We start from the raw sequence: 21854 nt of genomic DNA, 5'->3' as shown, positions 1-21854 counted from the left end.
GAATGAGTCATCTCCAAGCCATCACTGAGATGAAATATCAGAGAGGAAAACAGGTATAATGTAAGTTAATAAACACTGTACTAAAGACAATTAGTTGTACTAAAGAAAATTCTTTGAAGTCATAAACACTGGAACAGTTATGCTTGTTATGAACTGGGGGTGGATGTAAGAAGTGGGGGTGATTTAAACAGAATGTATCAAGAAACCGTGTATCAAGAAACCTTAAAGTAATTAACACGAAATGTATCTCAAGGTAAGTTAAAATTCCTATGCACAGAAGCGGTAAACATTCTTGGCAAAGGGGTCAATTATGGAAAAAGACAAAAAGATGAAAACCCACAGGCCATCCTGGAGTTGTGTGTGTCCGGAGCACAGAAGCCCCAAAGAGAATTACAGCAAGAGATGGGATAGGAAAGACCCTGTGCACCCTCATAAGGAATTGGTTCTTTTTTTACATAGGCTTCCTGGTATACAACTTACCTGAAATGTACCAAAGAAAATCTGGTGATTTACCACCCCACTCCACCTCACGCCAACCAAACTCTATCTCTTATATTTTTTCTCTTCTTGCATTTGCTTCCGAAGTCTCTCATTTTTGTTTTCGCCTTATTGTTTCTCCTCACACACCTTTTTTCAGGTACATCTACTTGCCAACTTTACCCCTCCAGCTCCAGACACAGCCCACTCCCCAATTCCCTACCAATAACTGTAGGAGCATTCTATGAACTTTGAAGCAGAACTACTTGTTCTCCTTCTACAGGTAACACCCTTGTCTGCCCTCCCCTTGGCAATCAGTAGAAAAATAGAGACAAAATTTGTATATTTTAATAATTCAACACTTTAAAAGGAAACTGATCAACATTGATTTGAATGTCTCTTAAAATTCCAGCCCAAATGACATCAAATTTGGAGGCCTAAAACAGCCTTTAAAAAATTCTTTTCTTAGTCATTAACAGTACTAGATTAAGATCTCCTCAGCTTTCACCAACAAAGAAATAAGTAAACTCTGAGCATTTTTCATAAAACGTATTTCAGATTGTTATTTTAAAAAGCTCATTTACAGCAAGTTTCTCTCCTTCTCACTCAGAAACAAAATATTCTTTTTAAAGACTGTTTCAAAGAGGTGATTCAGATTTACAAGTGATGGGGTAAGAGTCTTTAGAATCCCCTTATCTTTTTCTCAGGGACAAAGAGAAGTGCCCCCTCCCAACCCCTGCCACATCCCCCACATACACACATACCCCTAAAGGGCAGCAGGAATTTTGTTTACTCTTCCACTAAAGGAACACAGTCTCAAATTTTGGCCAAGAATCAGGAACTTAACTTGTATTTATACTGGCAATGCCGGTGAGAAAAAAACTTAGTGGGGGACATTTTGCTAAACTAACTCTGCTCAAAAGTTTAAAAGCTCTGCACAAGATTAACCAAATCTAAACAGTGAACAGCACTCCTGCTATCAAGAACTCCTTCTTTCACCTCAGTCAAGTATGCAGAATGAGTACCTATCTATCACCCCATTTCAACCAAAGCCAGAATTTTCTGATTCCATGAACGGCTACACGTTCCTTTCACACATTATCCAAATAATGTGCACATTCCCAGTGCTTTCCCAACTAATTCTACATAAACTAAAAAGGAAGTGAAAAAAAAGCCATTTCCTTTCCGTTGTTCTTTTACCTACATCCTAAGACTTTCGGAAATTACAATTGCCATGATTCATCTTTAAAAGCTTCCATCCACATAAAAATGCCTGGATTAATACCACATTAACTAGAGGCTATTTCTTTCACCTGTGTCTGTTTTCCCTTTTATAGAATGGTAGAATTTTGTGAATTATTCTTTTTATGTAAATGCTATGAGTAGCAGAGGGACTATATACTCTGCTTTGAAAGCAGGGATTATGCTTGCTTTCCTTTGTTCTGTATACATGAAAACATCTACTATGAACAAGAAAGATATTCAAGAGATACATTTTGTCTTGTGAAAGTTTGGTAATAACAGACAGCCACAACTGAAATTTATACAGCACTTCATAAATTACAATGCACTTTCACATTTATTCCTCCTAACCATCTGAGGATAAAGGCTTTATCAACATCCCCATTTTACTTATGAGGAAACTAAGGCTCAAGAGAAATAAAACGGCTTGAATAAGACTACCCAACAAATAAAACAAATGAACTGGAAATCAAATCCACCTCTTCTTGCCCCAGATATTTCTGCTTAGAGTATCAGGAAAAAAAAAGGGAGGGGGGGGGTATTATTAAATACTAGTTAAAATAAGATAAATGGGCATTAAGTTCTTTAAAATCAAGGATAAAAGTAATTTTTAGTAAAGATGGTACATGTATTCAGAAAGTGGTTTCCATGTCCCCCAAAATGCAAATAAAAATGAGACCTAGTTTACTTTGCCTCACTGTCTCCCAAGAATAGACTTCTAGCAATCACAGTCGGCCTATATTTACACCTGAAAAAACAGGAATAAAAAGTTTCTTAATTGTATAAATTTAAGGGTTTCAAGTGCAGCTTAGTTATATGGATATACTGTCTAGTAGTGAAGTCTGGGCTTTTACCGTAATCACCACCTGAATAATGTACACTGTACTTCATTAAGTACCTTCTCATCTCTCACCCTCTTCCCACCACCCCATCCTTCCGATTCTTTCACAGTGTTTCCTAAGTGACCTACAGGAAACCCTAGGTAGTGACTACAGTGAAAAATTCTAAGGGAAATCTCTCTTTGGGACCTACCACTTGCCCTCATCTCTCTAACCCTCTTTTCAACATCCACAAGTTTCCCTCCATTTGGGAAGAGAAGATATTGTTCAATTTTAGACTCATGTGTCTAAGATATATTAATGACACTTTGAAATAATAAACGTATTTTGTAAAACTTTTACGCTACCCTACAAAAGAAATGTCTCCCTAATCTGTTAGAGTTTCTTCTCTTTATTAAAAGTTCTAATAAAATTACCACAGTAAAAGAGAAATGGGATTCAGAGAAACTGAATAGATCTTATCCTAATGAAAAATCCTCTACATTCTCAACCCCAGCAATCTTTATATAGAGATCAACAAAATGACATCAATATCACTACCGCCAATATCATTAGCAAAACCAACCCCCTCCTCCACCCCCATCAGCAGGGCAAGTAGGGAGCTTAGAGATGCTTGGCTATAGACAGCAGACACGCTCTTATGCTCACTCAAATACCCCAATTATGAGCCCCATAAAAGCAAACTTAGTTCTGAGTTGCTGATCACTGATAGCTAAAATTTCTCACTTTCAGGCTCAAGGCTGAAAACAAAAGAACACTTAAGTAATACGTGAGCAATTCATTTACTACAGAACAAAGGGTAACACAAACTTTTGATCCTTCTCCATTTTTTAGTGTTCTAAAATTTTCATGCCATTGAAATTAACAAAATCTAAACACAGTATGACAGTGGGAGGGTAGTGGCATCTAATTTTGGCTGAAGCTAAGCAAATAATCTACATAGGTGTTCCATCTTCATTTATTTTGTTACTAGTCAAAGCAATCAATGGCAGGGCTACTTTTCTAATTAAGTCTCCAAATTCCCTGTTCTTTCCAATATGCCATGATATTCCACCTGTCTGGGAGATAGATGATCCTTCTAAACAGAGATCCATAATACAATTAAATCAGATGCACTGTCTTGTAGTTATTATCCTTAGTATAATAATCCCACTACTAGACTGTCCACAAAGTCGACACAGAATTTTTGCAATTTCTTTGTGAAAGACAAACATTTTCACTCTACACCTTATACAGATGACTAAGGAACCAAGCAATATTTACCAATATTTCATCTGTTTAGAGATTCTTATGGTTATTGGTTTTGGTCTCTGTTTTTGGTTGCTTGGTTGTTGTGAGAATGAAACACAGAGAATGGGAGAGGCTTGCAAATGGGAAAGAAGCTTAGTCACCATTATTACACAGATGATGGTGGGGGAATCTCTGTGTTCCATCTGCCCAAAGCACCCAACCACCCCTCTACCATCTAGAAAATTCACAATCAACCTACAAGACCCCCATTCAAATGTCACCTATGTAGCTGACTCACAAACATACAGCAGACTCATCTATCATTTTCTTTCAGTGCTTTCATAGCACGTAGTTTACAGGATAGAACTGTAGCACTAATTATATCATTAAAAATTTTTACTCATGTTTCCCCAGCATATATTCTAGATCCTGAAAGGCAAGAAAAATATTATGGATCATTTTATCTCCAACATTTATCCCAGTGCCCAGGATAGTGACTTTCAAATAAATGCTTGTGAAAAAGATGGATCCTGAGAACAATGACGACTAGTGCACAGGACATAACACGAAATGTTGAATTTTTCCACCCACATCCATCCAGCATATTCATTCATCCACATCCTCCAGCTTATCTGAAACAAGGCTATGGAGCTACATGTCTATCAATACTACCTCAAACAACAGTAAATTCCTTCACCTGGAATTTCAGCTTTATTATAATGAAAGGATATGTTGCCTAATAGGATCCTAGAATACCTAGAAAAGTGATATATACAGGCAGGTGGTCAATTCTTGGTTTCTTTGGGCCACAATTAAACAGATCACTCAACTTACAAAGAAATGATGGCTGAGATTTGTAATAATATGCCCAAGATCGCATAGTTAAATGAGTGGCACTGTTAAGATTAGAGCTCAGAATCAAGAAAAATGTGTGTATACATACGGATGTATTTGTTCAGCTAAACAATGCAACGGGGTGCTTAGGATTTATGTGGCATTTAAAGCAGATAAAGCAGTATGTGCTGAGGTGCTAGCAGGAATTTGCACAATCTGGAGCTAGTCTCCAGAATTACTGGTTTGAGAAAACTGCCCCACATCCTTAGAACTCCCCTGTAGTTGCAAACTGCCAAATCATCCCAAGAATTACAAAATGTTAATAAATTAAGTATAAGGTGAATGGAAAAACACAACTCAAGGTTGATATCCAAAAAATAAGAAGAAAGGAGAAAAACCTTCAGAAATTCTAGTAACAGAAAGACATTTTCCGGGTTAATTATCCTGCAATAAACATCACAGATAGAAAGCTGCCTTTTTCACAAAAAGTTTTACAAACACCAGAATAGCATAACTCAGGATCCTCTGCAAACTTCTTACAAATATCTGACCTGCTAAAGTCACCTTATTGGTTAGAGCACCAAACTGTCAAGAGTATCAAGAATCTGTAATCCTATTTCCAATAATAATGGTCCTAAATGGCAGACTGGGCTTCCTAGTTTCCTCAAATACTTCTAAATTTCAGTCACTGTTCATAAAAAGATGCTGATCTATCACTTTATTAAAATTATAGATACACTATCAAAAAGGGTTTTAATCGTTGTCAAATTCAGCCTTATCTTGTCCAAGCAATCATCTGGACTCCTTTTAAATGTTTCAGCCACCGGAAACTCCCTTTATTTTAAAACACAGCCCATTTTTCCAATAACCAGAGGTAAAACTGTCTTCAAAAGGACAAAATCTGCCAACCTATAGTGATTATCCACTGGTCCTAGTTCCAGCCTCAAAGCACTCACATTCTCCAGAGTGTATGTAGGTGTTTTGTAGAAACAACTGACATTCTGAGGTCTGTTATTTTTATACACCCTATGGATAATCATCCATGTAGCATATCATACGGGTTAATGCACAGGTTAAGTCCCAAACGTACTCTCCATGTTACAGGCAGAGTCTAGGGCTGATCTTATGCCTCCCTATAGGATACCCTGACTATATTTGAAATACTTGACTTTTCTATTTAAATTTAGAAGGTACCAGAAAGAATAAACATCAAAATTCTAACATTAACAACATACTATGAGATTACAATGTAGCTTATCTTCCGTTTTAAACACTTCTATATTTTCCAATTCATCTTCCATGAAGGCGAATCTGATAATCCTTTTCAAAATATTTCATAATAAAGAGAGATACATGTTTTTATTCTAATATAAGCATCTAAACAGTGAAGCAAGAAATATTTACAAGGAAGAAAATCAGTTGTAGTAGCAATTTTATTGATTTATTTTATAATGCTCCTTTGAAAATTAACAAAAGTAAAGCCCACATATGGTCCCAAATTTGTCGACAATCTTCCTGAACACCAATGTAAGAAGAGAAATATGAAAAGTTGTTCAGTTTTCATTATCAGAATGGAGAAATTATACCAGCTCTTTACTGCAAAGAAATGTTTTATTAGTATCAACTGTACAAGTAAATTCAGTTATCACGTGGCAACTTAAAATAGGGAGCACTATATTATATAATAGCATCATCAACAGTTTTACAAGGGTAATAAGCATAAGTTTTAAATGTGTGCCAACAACACATGCACACTTCAACAAACACACTGCGAAGAATCATTCTGAAAAGTAAAACTGATTGAATCCCAACATTTCATTCTCACGTAATTTATCAAAGTATGTTCCTGAGTTATTTTTTTTTCTAATCCCCTAAATTCAAAGTTAAATGAAAACCCCGGTAACCTAAACCACTTGTTTGGCAAGTAGATATGTTATGGCTAACCGCAGATACACCAGATTGCAGGCAAGCGGGTTTTGAAAATGCTGAGATGATATAAGTCCTCACATCAGAAGTACTACTTTAATATCATAGACCATCTACATCATTATCAGCGACCACAGAGTAAAGTGGGTAACTTATTGGGAAAGAGAAAATGGCTGAGTCAGAATTTCCATCTGACAGCACAAATGATCTGGAGTGAGAGGAAGAGTGAAAAAGCAGGGAAAAGGTAGCAAGGTAGAAACAGAGCAGTCTTTACTTATATTGGTTAAACTGTCGAACACAGATAAAACTTTCCATATAAGGTTTATCTGACTCAGCTACCATAAATGATTTTTAAAATGCCCGCAAACATGGACAACCTCATAAGCTTCCTGTGTTAAAGCCAACAACTGTATGGATTGGTGCTTTGAATCCAAAACCTTTTTTTGCTGGGAGTAACAAAACAGAAGCTACCCAAGAAAAGTTAAGACTTAGACCTTGTCTATTCTTAGAAGATGCTGATGCAGGTATTAACAGAAAGCACTCAAGTTAAGCTTCCTTTCTTCTCAAGAAACATCCCATAACCTCAAAATGAGCTCAATCAGGACATCATTTATTCTGAGTGCCCATCAAATTGATTCCTGGGCTCTGTCTTTCTATTCCCATCAAGAAGTCACTAAGGTTCTCTTCAAAACTTTATGTTTTGAAGATGTGGATGTGCATTTGAGGATGTGAGGATTTGAGGATGTGCATTCCTCACAGTCTAACGCTCAATGGGACATATATTAGAATTGGCATCCTGGCTGGGCATGGTGGCTCACGCCTGTAATCCCAGCACTTTGGGATGCCGAGGTGGGCAGAATGCCTGAGCTCCCGAGTTCGAGACCAGCCTGGGCAACAGAGTGAAATCTCGTCTCCACAAAAATACAAAAAATTAGCCAGGTGTGGTGGTATGTGCCTGTAGTCCCAGCTACTCAGGAGGCTGAGGCAGGAGAATCGCCTGAACCCAGGAGGCAGAGGTTGCAGTGAGCTGAGATTGTGCTACTGCAATCCAGCCTGCGTGACAGAGCGAGACTCCGTCTCCAAAACAAACAAACAAACAAACAAAAGGAAATGACATCCTTAAGCTGAACCAAAATCAATATGTTCTATCGATCCAACATCGTTCTATCCTTTAGTGTCACAAATAATTGTTTCACACTATATATGGTAGCCGCCAATCATATGTAACTGTTACATATAATATAAATTTAATTTTAAAAATTCAGATCTCCTCAGTTTCACTAATCATATTCCTAGTGCTAAATAGCCATATGGGGCTGGTGGCTACTATTCTGGACAGTACAGAATACAGAACGTTTGCATCATCACAGTTGTTCTATTAGATAGGACTGCTCTAGACGATAATCACAACGTGACGGTATGACAGAACTAATTTAGACAACTGGACCACTCAGTGAACCTGAATTAGAGACCTCATAGCATTTAAAACCATTTTAACCTTCTGCATGTGCATGCATGCACAAGCATGTGTGCTTGCAAGCACACTGCATAATTCGCTTTGCCATTTCAGACATCCAAGGGTCTTGAGTATATTACTGGTCTTGTGTCAGCCACTGATTTATCTTCAAAGTGCTCGCATATTTACATTTCTCCTATGCTGCTTCTTCCTCAGGCCTAATGTGATAGTTTTGCTAACCTCTGTAGGGTGAAAGGTTAAGAGTTATCCTACATTTATCTAGCAACCACTGTGCAGATATAGTCACAGACACAAAGTGAACAAATTTCTGATTAGAAAGTAAAGTGAACCAGGTATTCAACATAGTTAGAGGAGTTCAATTCTTGAAATACAACTGGTACTGAATAAACCCACCAAATCTCTAATACTTTACCAAGCACTTACTGAAGTACCCTGGATTCTGATTAACAAATGTGAACATTTATGAATTTCAACTGGCCCTGAAAGTTAAATGAGTCACAACTGAAGAAACATTCTCCTAGATTTCTTGTCTCCTGTACCTTCTTTAAAAAACAACTGCATTTTACATGGTTGCTTTACTTTAGAACAATTCAGGAATATATGAACTTAGCAACTAATTACTCTTAAAATCATAAAGATGAGTAAAAAGGAAGCACTTCTGCTGTTTTTAAATTGTTCAGTTTACTTTTTAAATGGGTTTATAAAATTTCGTAATTAAACATAAAGAGATAACTTAAAATTATACTTAGAGAAAGATTAAACTCTTACACAGTAACTTCTGCAGTACACTGCACAGAACACTGGCTCTTTGAGATATTCAGTGAATATTTATTGCACAAGGAAGCAGCATGGTGTAACCAAGAGAACTCTTACTTTGATTCCAACCCTAGCTCCATCACTCACCAACTAAATAATCTTAAACAAACTAACATCACTTATGTTTACGCCCCTGTAATATGAGAGAAATAATAGCCATCATAAGTACAGTCATCCCTGGGTATACGTGAGGGGGACTGGTTCCAGCACCCCCACAGATACCAAAATAGGTGCATACTCACTTCTTGCAGTTGGCCCTGCGGAACTCAGGTATATGAAAAGTCCCTCAGTATACACAGGCCTTGCATCCCGCCAAGCACTGTTATTTCTGATCTACACTTGATTGAAAAAAAATCCGTGTATAAATGGACCCACACAGTTCAAACCCACACTGTTCAAGGGTCAACTGTACTTGAGCACTGCAGGATATTTTAAAGGTACTTATCAATTATTCTCATGGAGGTAGTCAGACATTCTACGAAAAAAACAGGCCACTGATAGTCATAAGGCATCCTCAACAGGGTAAATACCATTATATAAGCAGTAGTAGACAATTTTTTCAAAACAATTTTTCACAAAGCATATCCAGATAGTAAGAATTCATTTTATTTTTATTCCATGTATCCCTAAAGAAACTCCAACCTTCTGTTGTTTCACTACTTGAATGGCACTTTTCCTGGCACTTACACAAGCCCTCAAATGGTTTGGCAGCCAGTACTCTGTTTGCCTTAGCCTAGAAAGAAAAGCCACCCATCTCCTTAAACCTCTGTAGGATAAACCCAGCCATGCCCATTAAAACCCAAAGATCACTTCCAGCCCAGCTTAAGTACAAGTTTACACCAGGGGAAGAAAAACCATTTTAGTTTATTGGCTTCATATGACAAAAGAGCTTCCTTAAGCACCAGCTACTGCAAGTTCTATTTATCCTTTGAGTCAGATATTTCCATTTTCAAATTCTCTTTTGCAACTAGATACTTTAGCTAGCACTTTCCTTCCTATTAGGAGTAGTAAATTCATTTCAACTTTAAACGATTGAGAGCAATATTCAAAATTCCCCAACAACTTTACTTTAGATAGAGTCATGGGATAAACAGGCATGGTAAAATAATCTCTTAAAATCTTGCTCTCACAAAGCAAACTGCAATACTGGCAATTCCATTCTGATAACTATTTGTCAGAACTCTACACACATTTCTGGAAATCTTGGATTACGGAAATCAAAAGTTAGGAACAGAAAACAAATGTGTAAATCTTGAAATTTCTGCAATTCCACTGTTAGGCCACCACAGGCTCAGTAACTGGTCATGTTCACTGACTAAAAATGTGTTTGTCTAAAAGATACCTTGAGATCATGGGTACATTCCTAGAATCAAATCAGTTTTATACAACCTAGGAGGATACTTCCACAGAAGATCAGGAGCTATATCTGCCTAATTTTAATAAAAGTAAGCTTACATAAAAATAATATTTCTTCCCCTAGAAACAATCTATACAGAATAAGGTGACCGCACAGCAGACTTGAGGAAGCCAGCCAGTGTTTCAAAGTACGTCCAGAAAATTCCCACACAAGTAACAGGGAGTTACACATAGATTTTAAGAAGTGATTCTGTCAACCCTTTGGCTCTCCATGCAGTTTCACAAGAGTGGGGTAATTTTTTTTTCAGAAAGAAATTTATATTCACCTTATTGGTACTTCAGTTACATGTGAACTCTTGATAGTTCTCTATTCCCAACAAAGGCTGAAAACAGCTAGCACTCTGAGAAGAGAAAAGCCAAAACTTAAGCTGCCAGTCACACTGAGAGACTCCAGTGAGGAGGATGCTAAGACTTCAATAACATACAAATAAACAGAGTATACAGAGCAACAACCTGGATCTGTTTTGAATTTTTTTAAGTGTTTAAGAAGTATTTGTGAGTATCTTGAGTACAGATCAGGACTCAAATATTGCTTACTTCCAGGCTAAAAGACCTTGGGCAAGTACTTAATTTCTTTGAACCTCAGGTTCCTCATCTGTAAAATAAGGATAAATGTTGTGAGGACTAAATTAGATAAGGTATGTGAAGGGCGAAAGAAAGCATCTGCTACTCACTAAGCAGCAGCTCAATAAATAGAGCCTATTATTGGCCTCATTAAAGTTAATAAATTCTTATAATTAGTTATTTTCTATTAGGTATTGCTTCTAGTGAGGTCCCACTAAGTCACTGATTAACATAGATCTAGTCACTTGTCTAGTACAGAATCTGTGCTGCAATTTACAGTGAGTACTTGCTCTTAGGAATCTGCAGAAATGATCCCAGTGCAGGCTAAGCTGGGAGGATCACTTGAGGCCAGGAGTTCAAGATCAGCCTGGGCAATATAGTGAGACCCTCACTCTACCAAAAAAAAAAAAATTAATTAGCTGGGCCTGTAGTCCTAGCTACTCAGGAGGCTGAGGCAGAAGGATCACTTGAGCCCAGGAGCTTGAGGCCACAGTGAGCTATGACTGCACCACTGCACGCCAGCCTGGACAACAGAGTGAAACCCTGTCTCTAGAAGAAAAAGAAATAGAATCTGAAGCAATGTTTCCTGGCAAGGAATAACAATATAATCAATAGTTTACTGCACGTCTAAAGCTCTTTCTAACCTCATATGTCCGCCTGAGGGAGAATATGTTTCCTATACACATTGTAGGCCTGAGTTAAGGGGAAATCAGAATGTCTAAAATGTTTAATAAGCTCCGCCACTCCAAACTTTTTCAGCTGAATGTCCAAGATTAGAAAGTAAAGTAGAATTCTATGTGAAGATTATGTAATTATAGTTTACTGAGACAGAAGAATCATCAAATTATCACCATCAAGAAGGGTATGAAGGAAAACTGTTGAGTAGAAGTGTAGCCAGCCAAAATCTAACCAACATATTAACATGCAGATTAAAACTTTTTGGCATAGCTAAAACTAAATGTAGTTTCCTAATTCTGTATTTTGAGTTGCTGTAGTAAAAGCTTTCTGCTAAATCTCCATGACACTTTAGCATCTGAAATGTAATAAATATAGATTTACTTGCCCAATTTACAGAAATATAAGGACTTTATGATAGTATATAAGGCGCAAGCAAATTATAGTATAAAGAGCCCTCTTAATTACAGATACCTGTCAGAATTTTAGTCTTGGCTCTGTCAGCAGCTTGTCAAGTGAATGAACTTTGACAAGTCACCTTCCAAATCAGAGCCTCATGTCCTGACCTGTGAGGAGACAGATTAAATTACCTCTTAAGAATCTATCCAACTTAAAAATAAGGTAGAATGAAATGTAGTTGATTTAGTGTAAGTGATAGACATTTGTCTTTTGGATACAAGTATTATACATCATGTAAAAATGTAATAACTGAAGCCTATTCATCTAGGGTAATTGCCATGCTAACTTTCACCTACACCAAATATTGCTTTCTTCATTGCTGCTGCTGATTTCACTATTTCTAGCATCCAAGATAACAACAATCTGCTTATATCCAACTGTATAGTATCTTTCACCACAAGTACATTTTAACCTTTTGTTCAACCTGGTGCCTTTTAAAAAGGTGAGCTTTTCCTGTTTCAACTAATAGTTCTCACAGAGTCTTCAGTATCAGAGTAAATGGAGACCATGTTATCAGTCACTAACTGTCCAGTGAATACAAATGTGGACTGTAACATTTACTAAAAGGTTTTCCTGGGGCCAGATGATCAGAGTACAGCCTGGGAAAGTCAACACTTTCCATATTCAGAAAGCTTCTTGAAGATCACCAAATTTTTTATGTTCATCTGCAACGCGTTCTAAATGCCCTAGATTTCTCTATGATTGCTACTGAAATTGGCTTCAGTACAACCTACAGTTTGCTTGGTTATCATGTAATACCCTCTGCAGAGGAAATGAAAGAAAATCAGGGGCAGCCTGTATCTAGGAACAGGAAGACAAGATTCTGTCCAAATCCTTTTCTGCTATAAAGGAATCACTTGCCTCACTTTTTTTATATAGAGTCAAAATTATTTAGATGGTTTAGAAAATTTTATATCATAACTCCCTTGAAGGATACATTTGTTTTTCGTAGCACTGCATATTTTTAACCAGTGTTAACTTCTAATACACCATATGAACCTGAAAGAGACCATTCTAAAATAAGTACAAATTGAACATATCATCCCCAAAGCAAAAAGGCTTCAGCTCATTCTTTTGCTCATGCTCTCTCCTCTTTTCAATATAAACCATGACAAGTTTGCAATCTGTATATTCATTGTTTCCAACCCAAAACTTTCAGATTCTTCACAACTGTCTCCCCTTATATCAAGAATTTTAAAAATACATGCTATGTTTGACTTGTTTAAACTGTGTAAGAGCCTTCCCCCCTTTATCTAAAAATAAATTTAAAAGAGAAAATAGCACACATAAAAATTCTGATGGAACCCAATACTATCTAAGAAACTAACTGAATACTCTAGTAACAGCAACAAAATGACCATATCACTTTACTGGAACGTGTACAAAAATTACCAGCATCTTATATAATTAAAATTAATCCTTAAACAAGTAAGACTGTTGCCTCCAAAGGAGACCACTCTGACTTCAGGTGTTGTCAATCACAACACCAATCAACTTCTTATAGAAATTTGAGAGCTGGAACAACTCATACAACAAAAAGTAAAAGTAAAATGATCTTTCAAAGATTAGCTCTATGGAGCTTCAATGGGGAAACTATAAAAAGAAGGAATGATTTGTGGATCCACCAAAGACCAATTTGAAATAATGAAGTCTGACCAGAGAATGCTGGGAAAACAACAGAAGCAAACATGTTAACTTAGAATCCAGCAATCACTGACAGAATTGAAAATATTTTCTAGGAAAAGCCAGAAAGTGATCTATAAATGCAGACATTGAGAGTGAATAGCCCTTTCCAAAAGAGCTACCGGCCCAGATATTAAGGCAAACTCCAGATGTACAGATGGGAAGAACGTGGACCATTAAGTGAGCCCCTATCTTTCTCTTTCTTCTACGTCAGGACTCCCATCTAGACAAAAAGAGTCTTTCACAGTATTTGTCAACTCTTGTATTCGATATTTACACAGACCTTCATAATATAAAAGAAAAACCTAATATTTTCAAAGTATTTGGTGGGAAGATGCTACTCAAAAATTAGTGAATATAATACTTAAAGTCAATCATGGACTCCTCCATAGTCAATAAACAAAACAGAATTTGTTGCTGATGGGGAAGCGGTGAAGAGGGAAAGATATCCTTATAAGTCATTCATAGTTTTACTATATGCAGTTAAAACTCCTAAAGTTAATGGAAAATGACTAAGCCTTTATGACTCATTGGAAAAACAAAAGCCAAAAAAGTCCAGGGGAGACTCCCCTGGTATTTGGTCACTGAGGAGCTGTATCAGGACTGGAAATGCTCATCAGGCAAGATGAAAAATTTGGTGATAAATTAGCCTAGGTACCTCTGATACAAGTTTCTAAAAAGATGAAATGATACTTCATTCACACAAATATCTGTAATAAGTTTTAAACAGGACCAATAATATAAGCTAAAAAAAAAACGTAAGGAAACATTTTAAGGTGGTTAAATCTGTTGGATACTCATGAACTTCTGAAAGCCCCACAGACCCTTACTCAGAGCTGGCATACGGCATACTCTTACTTTACATAAGATTTCTACCTACATTTGATTTTGAAAGTCCCCAGAAATTTACCGGAGTGTAATTTTTTTTTCTTCTTAAAAAAAGAGGCTGGGTGCAGTGGCTAATGCTTGTAATCCCAGCACTTTGGGAGGCCGAGATGGGCGGATCACGAGGTCAGGAGTTTGAGACCAGCCGGGCCAACACAGTGAAACCCTGTCTCTACTAAAAATACAAAAATTAGCTGGGCATAGTGGCGGGCAACTGTAATCCCAGCTACTCGGGAGGCTGAGGCAGGAGAATCGCTCGAGCCTGGGCGTCAGAGCTAGACACCGTCTTAAAAAAAAAAGAGAGAGAGAAAGAAAAATGATTTAACTCTGTACTTTTTAAAGTCACTTCAAAAATTAAATAGGCTGTCATAAGAGTTCAATCAACAATAATTCCCAAGGGCATCATTATATTAAAGCAAAGTTATGAAAAACAGTGTTTATACCGATAACTGAACTGTCCAAAAAAGGTTAAATAACAAAGTTTTTTAAAAGTTTCATTGAAAATGGCTCCAAAACAAATCTTTTTTTTTTTTCTGTCTAGTATCAGGTCGCAAAAAATTTAAGCTTTGCCAATCACGTGGTCTCTGCTACAACTACTCATCTCTGCCTCTACAGTATGTAAGCAGACAAAGACAATATGTAAATGAATAAGTATGGCTATGTTCCAATAAAACTTTACTTACAGACACTGAAATTTGAATTTCATACAATTTTCACATCACAAAACATTATTTTTTTTGAATCATTAAACACTGTAAAAGCCATCCTGAGCTACCTTGCTATACAAAACAAGTGGCAGTAGTTTGCAGGTCCCTGCAACAAATTTGAATTACTAGAGAGGATTACTGCTCATTCTTTATCAGATAAATGAGCTGTCACTGCAAAAACTTAAGAAATTAGGAGAAGATCCTTGTATTGGGGTGGCCACAGTATACTCATTCTGTAATTTTCCAAATGTAATTGCATAAGTCTGAGTACATAGTCTGTATATAAAAACTACAGATTCCTGAAACCATCTCTAAGAGATTTAGCTAATATCAAGTAGGGCTAGGAAGGTGTTTGGATCCCCATATCATTCTGATATTGAACTAAGGTTTTTAAAAGCATGGACATGGGCAAACTGTGTATCTAGTAAGAACTGTATCCAGAATATGTAAAGAACTCCCAAATTCAATAATAAGAAAATAGTCGATTTTAAAATGAGCTAAAATTTAAAGCAAACACTTCAACAAACAATATAAGAATAGCAAATCAGCACAAGAAAAAAGGCACAACATCATGAGTCATTAGGGAAATACAAATTAAATCCACAATAAGATATCATGACACACTTGCTCAAATGGTTAAAATTAAAAAAAGTAAATGGGTCCTGAAAATATCAAATGCCAGCAAGGATGCAGAACAACTGGAGCTCACATACATTGCTGGTGGGAATACAAAATGGTACAGCCATTTTGAAAAACAGTTTGACAATTTTAACATGCACTCACCGTATAACCCAGAAAGTCCATTCGAGGGAAACAAAAACTTATGTTCAAATACACACACATACATTAAAAAAAAAAAAAACACTTGTACACAAATGTTTAGAGTGACTTTACTGTCACCCACCAAAACTGAAAACTCATATGTTCTTCAATTAGTGAATGGATAAACAGTATGTTTGAGGAGACTCAAAAAACTACTTACTATATGATCTTATTTATATAAGATTTTTGACAAGGCAAAACTACAAGGGCAGAAAACAAATCAGTGGCTGGTGGGGGCATGAAACGGGGGTTGAGAAGTTTGGGGGTTAGGAACTGTTCTGTATCTTGATTGTTGTGGTGGTTCCAAGACTACACATTTGTCAAAACTCAGAACTACACACTAAAAAGGAAGGAATTTTTATTGTATGTAAATTATTCGCTGAACTTGACTAAAACGACAAAGAAAAAGGAAAGAACCACTGATAAATAAACAAGACCGGTAATACACTGGTTCTGGTTTATTAGAAAGTCTTTACTGCTTTGTTTTTTTTCCTTTTTCTCAATGTAGGCTAAAAACTATCCTATGCACACACACTTAATGTATGTGTGTATGCTTTTTTAACGAAATGATGACAGAAGGAAATAATGATTGTTTTCTGCTTAACAGTCCTTTTAAAAGCAATATCTGAGAACTCTTGCGCTGGTTTTTAAATTCAAACACCTGGAACATTCTAGATTCAAACATCCAAGTAATCCCCAAAGTCCTTCTAAATATAAAAACTAATTATCCTTTGTAGGTCTTATCTAAGATCTAGGTTATTCTAATTTTACATTTTTGAAGCACAGGACACCTTTAAACGAGTCACCAGTTAAAAACATTAATCCAATGGCACTTCCAGTGGCTACCTCTGAAACAGCAAATATAGTTGTTTGAATGTTTGTTTTCTCCTCTATGGATCAAAGCAATTCACTTCTAAATATGCTTCTGTACCTTGGAGAACTGGGATTTCAAGCAGCATTTACTTAAGTTTAGTGGTCTCCATAACTGTTTTCTTTATGAATGAAACTCACATGTTTTTTGTCACTGAGGAAAAATTTATTTATCTCAACAAAAACTGTTAAGTCCCTAACAAGGGCTGAGGAAAGACCATGGCCTATGACTTTATTTCTCCAATACGTTTAATTTTAGAGTTTCTACCTTTAAATATTAGCCTCTTTAGAATGAATATACCAGAGAAGACATGCATTTTTGCAAGACTTTTCAGGTAGAAAAAACAGTGAGGCAAGAGTGTGACTTCCTACAGTTCACTCAGTAATTCATTTGCTGAATCAAAACTAAAAGTTGTAAAAAATTGTATGTTAACTCAGCATCCATATGATACATTATCCTTAAAATAACTATCCTCAGAAAAAGCCTTATTATTTTCATTCTACTGTCTTAAACATATGGCATATCACATAAATGAAACACATCAGAAATGAATCTTTCGCATCTACAGAACAATTTAAAAGAAAGAAGGGGAAGAGAGGGAAGGAGGAAAAGGAAAAGAGAAGGTAGGTAAAAAGAAATGGAGGGAAGAATAAGCTGTGTAAGCAACTACTCACAGTTCTAAACTTTTCTAATTCTAGGCCCCAATGTGCCAATTCCTAGCTACTTAGCCTCAGTGGTTTAATACAACTCACTTGCCCTCCCTGACCCTGGGATTTTCATCTGGAAAATAAGGAAGTTGGCCTAGAACAGTGGTTTTTAGTGCTTTCTACTCTGAAATCTCTTTTTAAAGTACCAATTAACTATGGTTTCCCACGTGTGAGTCGTCCGTTAAGTACCTGTTTAAAAAATATATATTTTACAAATTAACAGTTACATCCATTTGAAAATTCCCTTCTTCATTCAAAAAAGTAATGCAAGTCTACATATGGCAATATACTATTTTCTTCCCTTTTGTGAAAGCCATTTTTGGTGCACATATGAATTCAGACAGTTCTTTCAACAACTCCATGCATTCTATACCACAGCAAAGATCATGTTCATGTACCATGGAAAATTTTTTTTTATTGTGGAAATACCCTCAACACAACATGTGGCACACAGCAGATATGCAAATTATCTAAGATTCCTTCCTGCTCCCAAATTGAGTGATATTGCTTTGTACTTAGAACAAAAAATTAAACCTATTATTACTCAAGTAAAAATCAAAAACACAAAATAGCATTTAGAAAATTTTACTAAAATTCTATTCTTAATGATTATCTCCAAAGTCAGAAAAGAAAGCAACAAATTACTTTCTTTAATTTTTCTATGTAATACATATCTATGTTGAATGAATTCTATTTACAAGACATACCTATAAAAAATTAGAAAAAAATTCGAAGTTTTTATAAATTTAATGCTGGTATAAATAAGTGATACACACAGTTTAAAAGGTATTATCTCTGCCTTTTAAAAGCTTATACTCTGAAAAAGAATACAAAATAATTATGCCAGAGACAAGATTCCTAAACCAACAGAGAATAATAATGTATTCATTCATTCACTCATTCATTTATTCACACATGCAAATATTTACTGAATAGTTGCTGATTACATAAAAGACATTCATCCAAATGAGGGTACAGCAAGATAACTAAGACATAAACCTCCTAGCTCCAAGAGATCCAGCCAGGGTCTCATTAAAAACCAACAACCAAAACAAAAACTGTTATGGAATTTTGAAAAACAGGGAAAGTGGGTTTGCCGTGTAGCCAGATATATGTACATCTCATGGACACTGCCATCTGTTTAGATGCCTAGTGTGCATGTGATAAGCTCTAAATTTCTTAGACTACTGGGTTCACTGATGGTACCAGACATAATTTTATATCTTTCCCCCTTGAAGGTCTGGATGTACGCCATTAACTTAATTTAACACATTATGCCACTGGAGTGCCCTGAACCTAAAATAAATCAGTGCTTTCTAGGTATGTTTCCTTTTACAGACATTTCTAAAAATGTATTAAATTGTATCTTTCACTAAAGAAAAAGGATTTGCTCCCAGAATAGCTAGCTACCTGTACTTCAAGAAGTAAGTCACTCCTAGGTAAACTGATTTCAGATGTTAAGCACACACATGCACACCAACACACACAGAATTCACCAACTTTGAGACAGTGGAACTTTCCACCTAAAGAATGTAAGAATTGAACATAAAAATGAGATTGAGAGAACTGCTGTAAGGAAAGAAAAATAAAGATTAACACTTGGAGAAAATAGGAGAGGTTGAAAGCATGCACTGCATGGCTAAAAGTGGTAAAGCTCTAATGCTTAAGAAATTGCAAAGAAGTTGATGAAACGCCAAAATGTCTAGAAAGGCCTCGATCAACATCTTGGTTAGAGAGGGCTAAATGGCAAAATTACAGCAAGTGGACAATTCATTTACCGATACAGGAACTTGGAGAGCAAAAGGAAGTAGGGAGTCTTGATTGCTGGTTCAGAAAAGAAAAATTCAATGAAGAAGCTAAAACTGACCCCCTGAAAAATGTAAGTTTGTCAACTGATTAAAAGTTTTTTACAAAAATATGTTTCCAGCTCTGAACTCCAAGAAACTTTCAGAATATTGTTGAAACATGCCTGTTCCTTTCCCTAACATTCGCAAATTGCATTTTGCATTTCAGTTATAGACCTACTGAAGTTTAAAATGGCTGGAAATTATTTCAAATCTAGAACCTCAAATGTTTCAGAAGAAATAGAGTATTATTCCTGAATATTGGCAACAGCGTTTTCCATTACAAAAAGTATACAGATGTTCCAAACACACTTTTAACCAGAAAAAATGATGTGTTGACACTTAGTTGACTTGATTCTTTTCACCTACATATGAACTCAATCATTTCCCTTTGTCTCCCAGTTTAAGAGATTTACCAAGGTATAAATACTACCATAGGTGTATGTGTGTGTGTTTTTTCAAAAGGTCTGTCCAAATGATGAATATTTTTGACTTCCTTAAAAACTAAGTAAGCAAGCATTAGATTTCAACCTAGGAAAGAAGATTTTTAAATATCCCCTTACCCTAATGTCAGCTGCTACCCACGACCTCTATTGAAATGTTCACGACAAAAGGTCACAGGGTGCCCCATCCCCTCCTAAACAGCAATGGAAACGGGCACACACTCACTGCACTATTCTTCTTAATCTCTATTGGAATCTACCCCATGATACCAAATTGAATATAAATTGTAACTGCATATATATCTATCAAAAGTTTAAATTAAAAAGTAGAGGAGACAGATACAGGGATTTTTTTGAATGGGGTTCAAAAATCTGCATCAGAATATTAAACTAATTACTACTACTAACCCTTCTCAAATGAAGTTGGAGTTTCAATATTACCACAGTCTCAATGTTTGCACATGTTTTACCCTATCAGGGGCACAAGCTTCATTCTCTTTAATTAGGATAAAGACACTGTTAGGGAGTAACTGGGCCATAATTAAGAGTTATATTAGGGAAGGATACACTTTATTAGACTTGAATACTTCTCAGATCAAAAACTTCACCACCATTAGTAGGACATTCCTAGTATAATACATCACTTCCTTTGATGATCTTGGAACTAGAAAAGTCAGATGTTTACAAAGACAGTGATCTCATCGATTCCTGACCACCTTCAAAATTAATATTTAATTGTAACTTAATGAAAGAGCCACACTGAATTTTCTTACCAATTTACCAGATTACATAAAAGAGATTGCCAAACACCGTATTACGCAAAATGAAAGCTAATTTAAATGTATTAGACTCTAGAGTGTGGAAATGGAAAAATCTTGCATTTTTATATGGAAGGTGTTTGTGGAACTCCTTGAGAAATAATATGTTAGAATACATCATTCATGTCTTGGTACGAAATCAGAAGACCTAAGGGTAATATAAATGTATATGAAGAGTTTTATGTTTTTTCACTCACATGAATAGGGGATTGGATAAAATCATAGCACCATATGATTAATACTATACATACCAGGTTTTGTTTGAACTCCAATTCTCATTCTACTCACCATGCACTACACACTGCACAAGGATCACTCTTTCTCTAGAGACAAACCCAACACATACCCACACAAAAAACCCTCATATCCAAAAGTAAAGGATAACCAGACAATCTCTAAGATAAGAACTCTCAAAAGTATGGATCCGCCTTTCCTATCGCTCAGCCTCCTTAGTCTTGACAGCAGAGTGAAAACTGTTTTCTACAGGTGAAAGCCCTAAGTCTTCATCAAAGCCATACCAGGGACGGAAAGGTAGAAAAGTATTAACGCTAAAATCTCACGCCTAAGCTTTAACACCCTTCCGGAACAGTAAGACAGAACTAGGCCCATCAGAAATTCTACATAAAATCAGTGACCACTAGTCACTAGTCTCCTAGTGCTTGAAACTCTGAGAAAGCAATCAAGCAGTCCCTCATTTTCCTGAGATTTTTGGGCTGGCCTGAGCACACACAAGACCAACGGAGTCAAATTAAGTTGGCAATAAAACAAGCGGTTCCAAGAAAGCAAAAACTATTTTCAATTCCACATCTCCAAGACGCCTCAGGCTACAGTATTCAATCGATACAAATGACATTCACAACAGAAGCCGATTTTGCAAAGCCCTTGGAACTTAGGGGTCTGCGTCAGCACTCTGGAACGTCTATGCTTCCTAGGACCAAAGAATAAACAAAGATAACTCAAGGCATAAGGCGATCCAGCACCTAAGATCTCAGCAAAAAAAAGCTAGGTCCTGAGGCAGCTAGTGGAAAAACAAGAGAAGGGAAGTCAAAAGGCTACTTGCTGTCAGCTAAAGCCAGGTCAGTACTAATCTCTACTTTCCTGGACATTGGTACAAAAAGC

General features: G+C 36.3%; 2 protein-coding genes across 5 annotated transcripts in view; one reads left to right on the top strand and one right to left on the bottom strand.

Moving 5' to 3' along the window:
• The window catches only part of CCDC50 (coiled-coil domain containing 50), a 69266-nt gene that overhangs the window by 46435 nt on the left and 977 nt on the right, over nucleotides 1-21854 (bottom strand). The window lies entirely within an intron of this gene.
• The window catches only part of UTS2B (urotensin 2B), a 79015-nt gene continuing 63203 nt past the window's right edge, over nucleotides 6043-21854 (top strand). Inside the window, exon 1 of one of the 2 annotated variants that reach the window (XM_047447899.1) lies at nucleotides 6043-21811. The gene's annotated coding sequence lies outside the window, so the exon portion shown is untranslated. The remainder of the gene's footprint in view (nucleotides 21812-21854) is intronic. The other variant, NM_198152.5, reaches the window with a different exon arrangement.

Source organism: Homo sapiens, chromosome 3 (assembly GCF_000001405.40).
Source record: "Homo sapiens chromosome 3, GRCh38.p14 Primary Assembly".
Lineage (NCBI taxonomy): Eukaryota > Metazoa > Chordata > Mammalia > Primates > Hominidae > Homo > Homo sapiens.
Note: the sequence above shows the minus strand (reverse complement) of the source record. Positions and strands in the feature narration are given on the sequence as shown.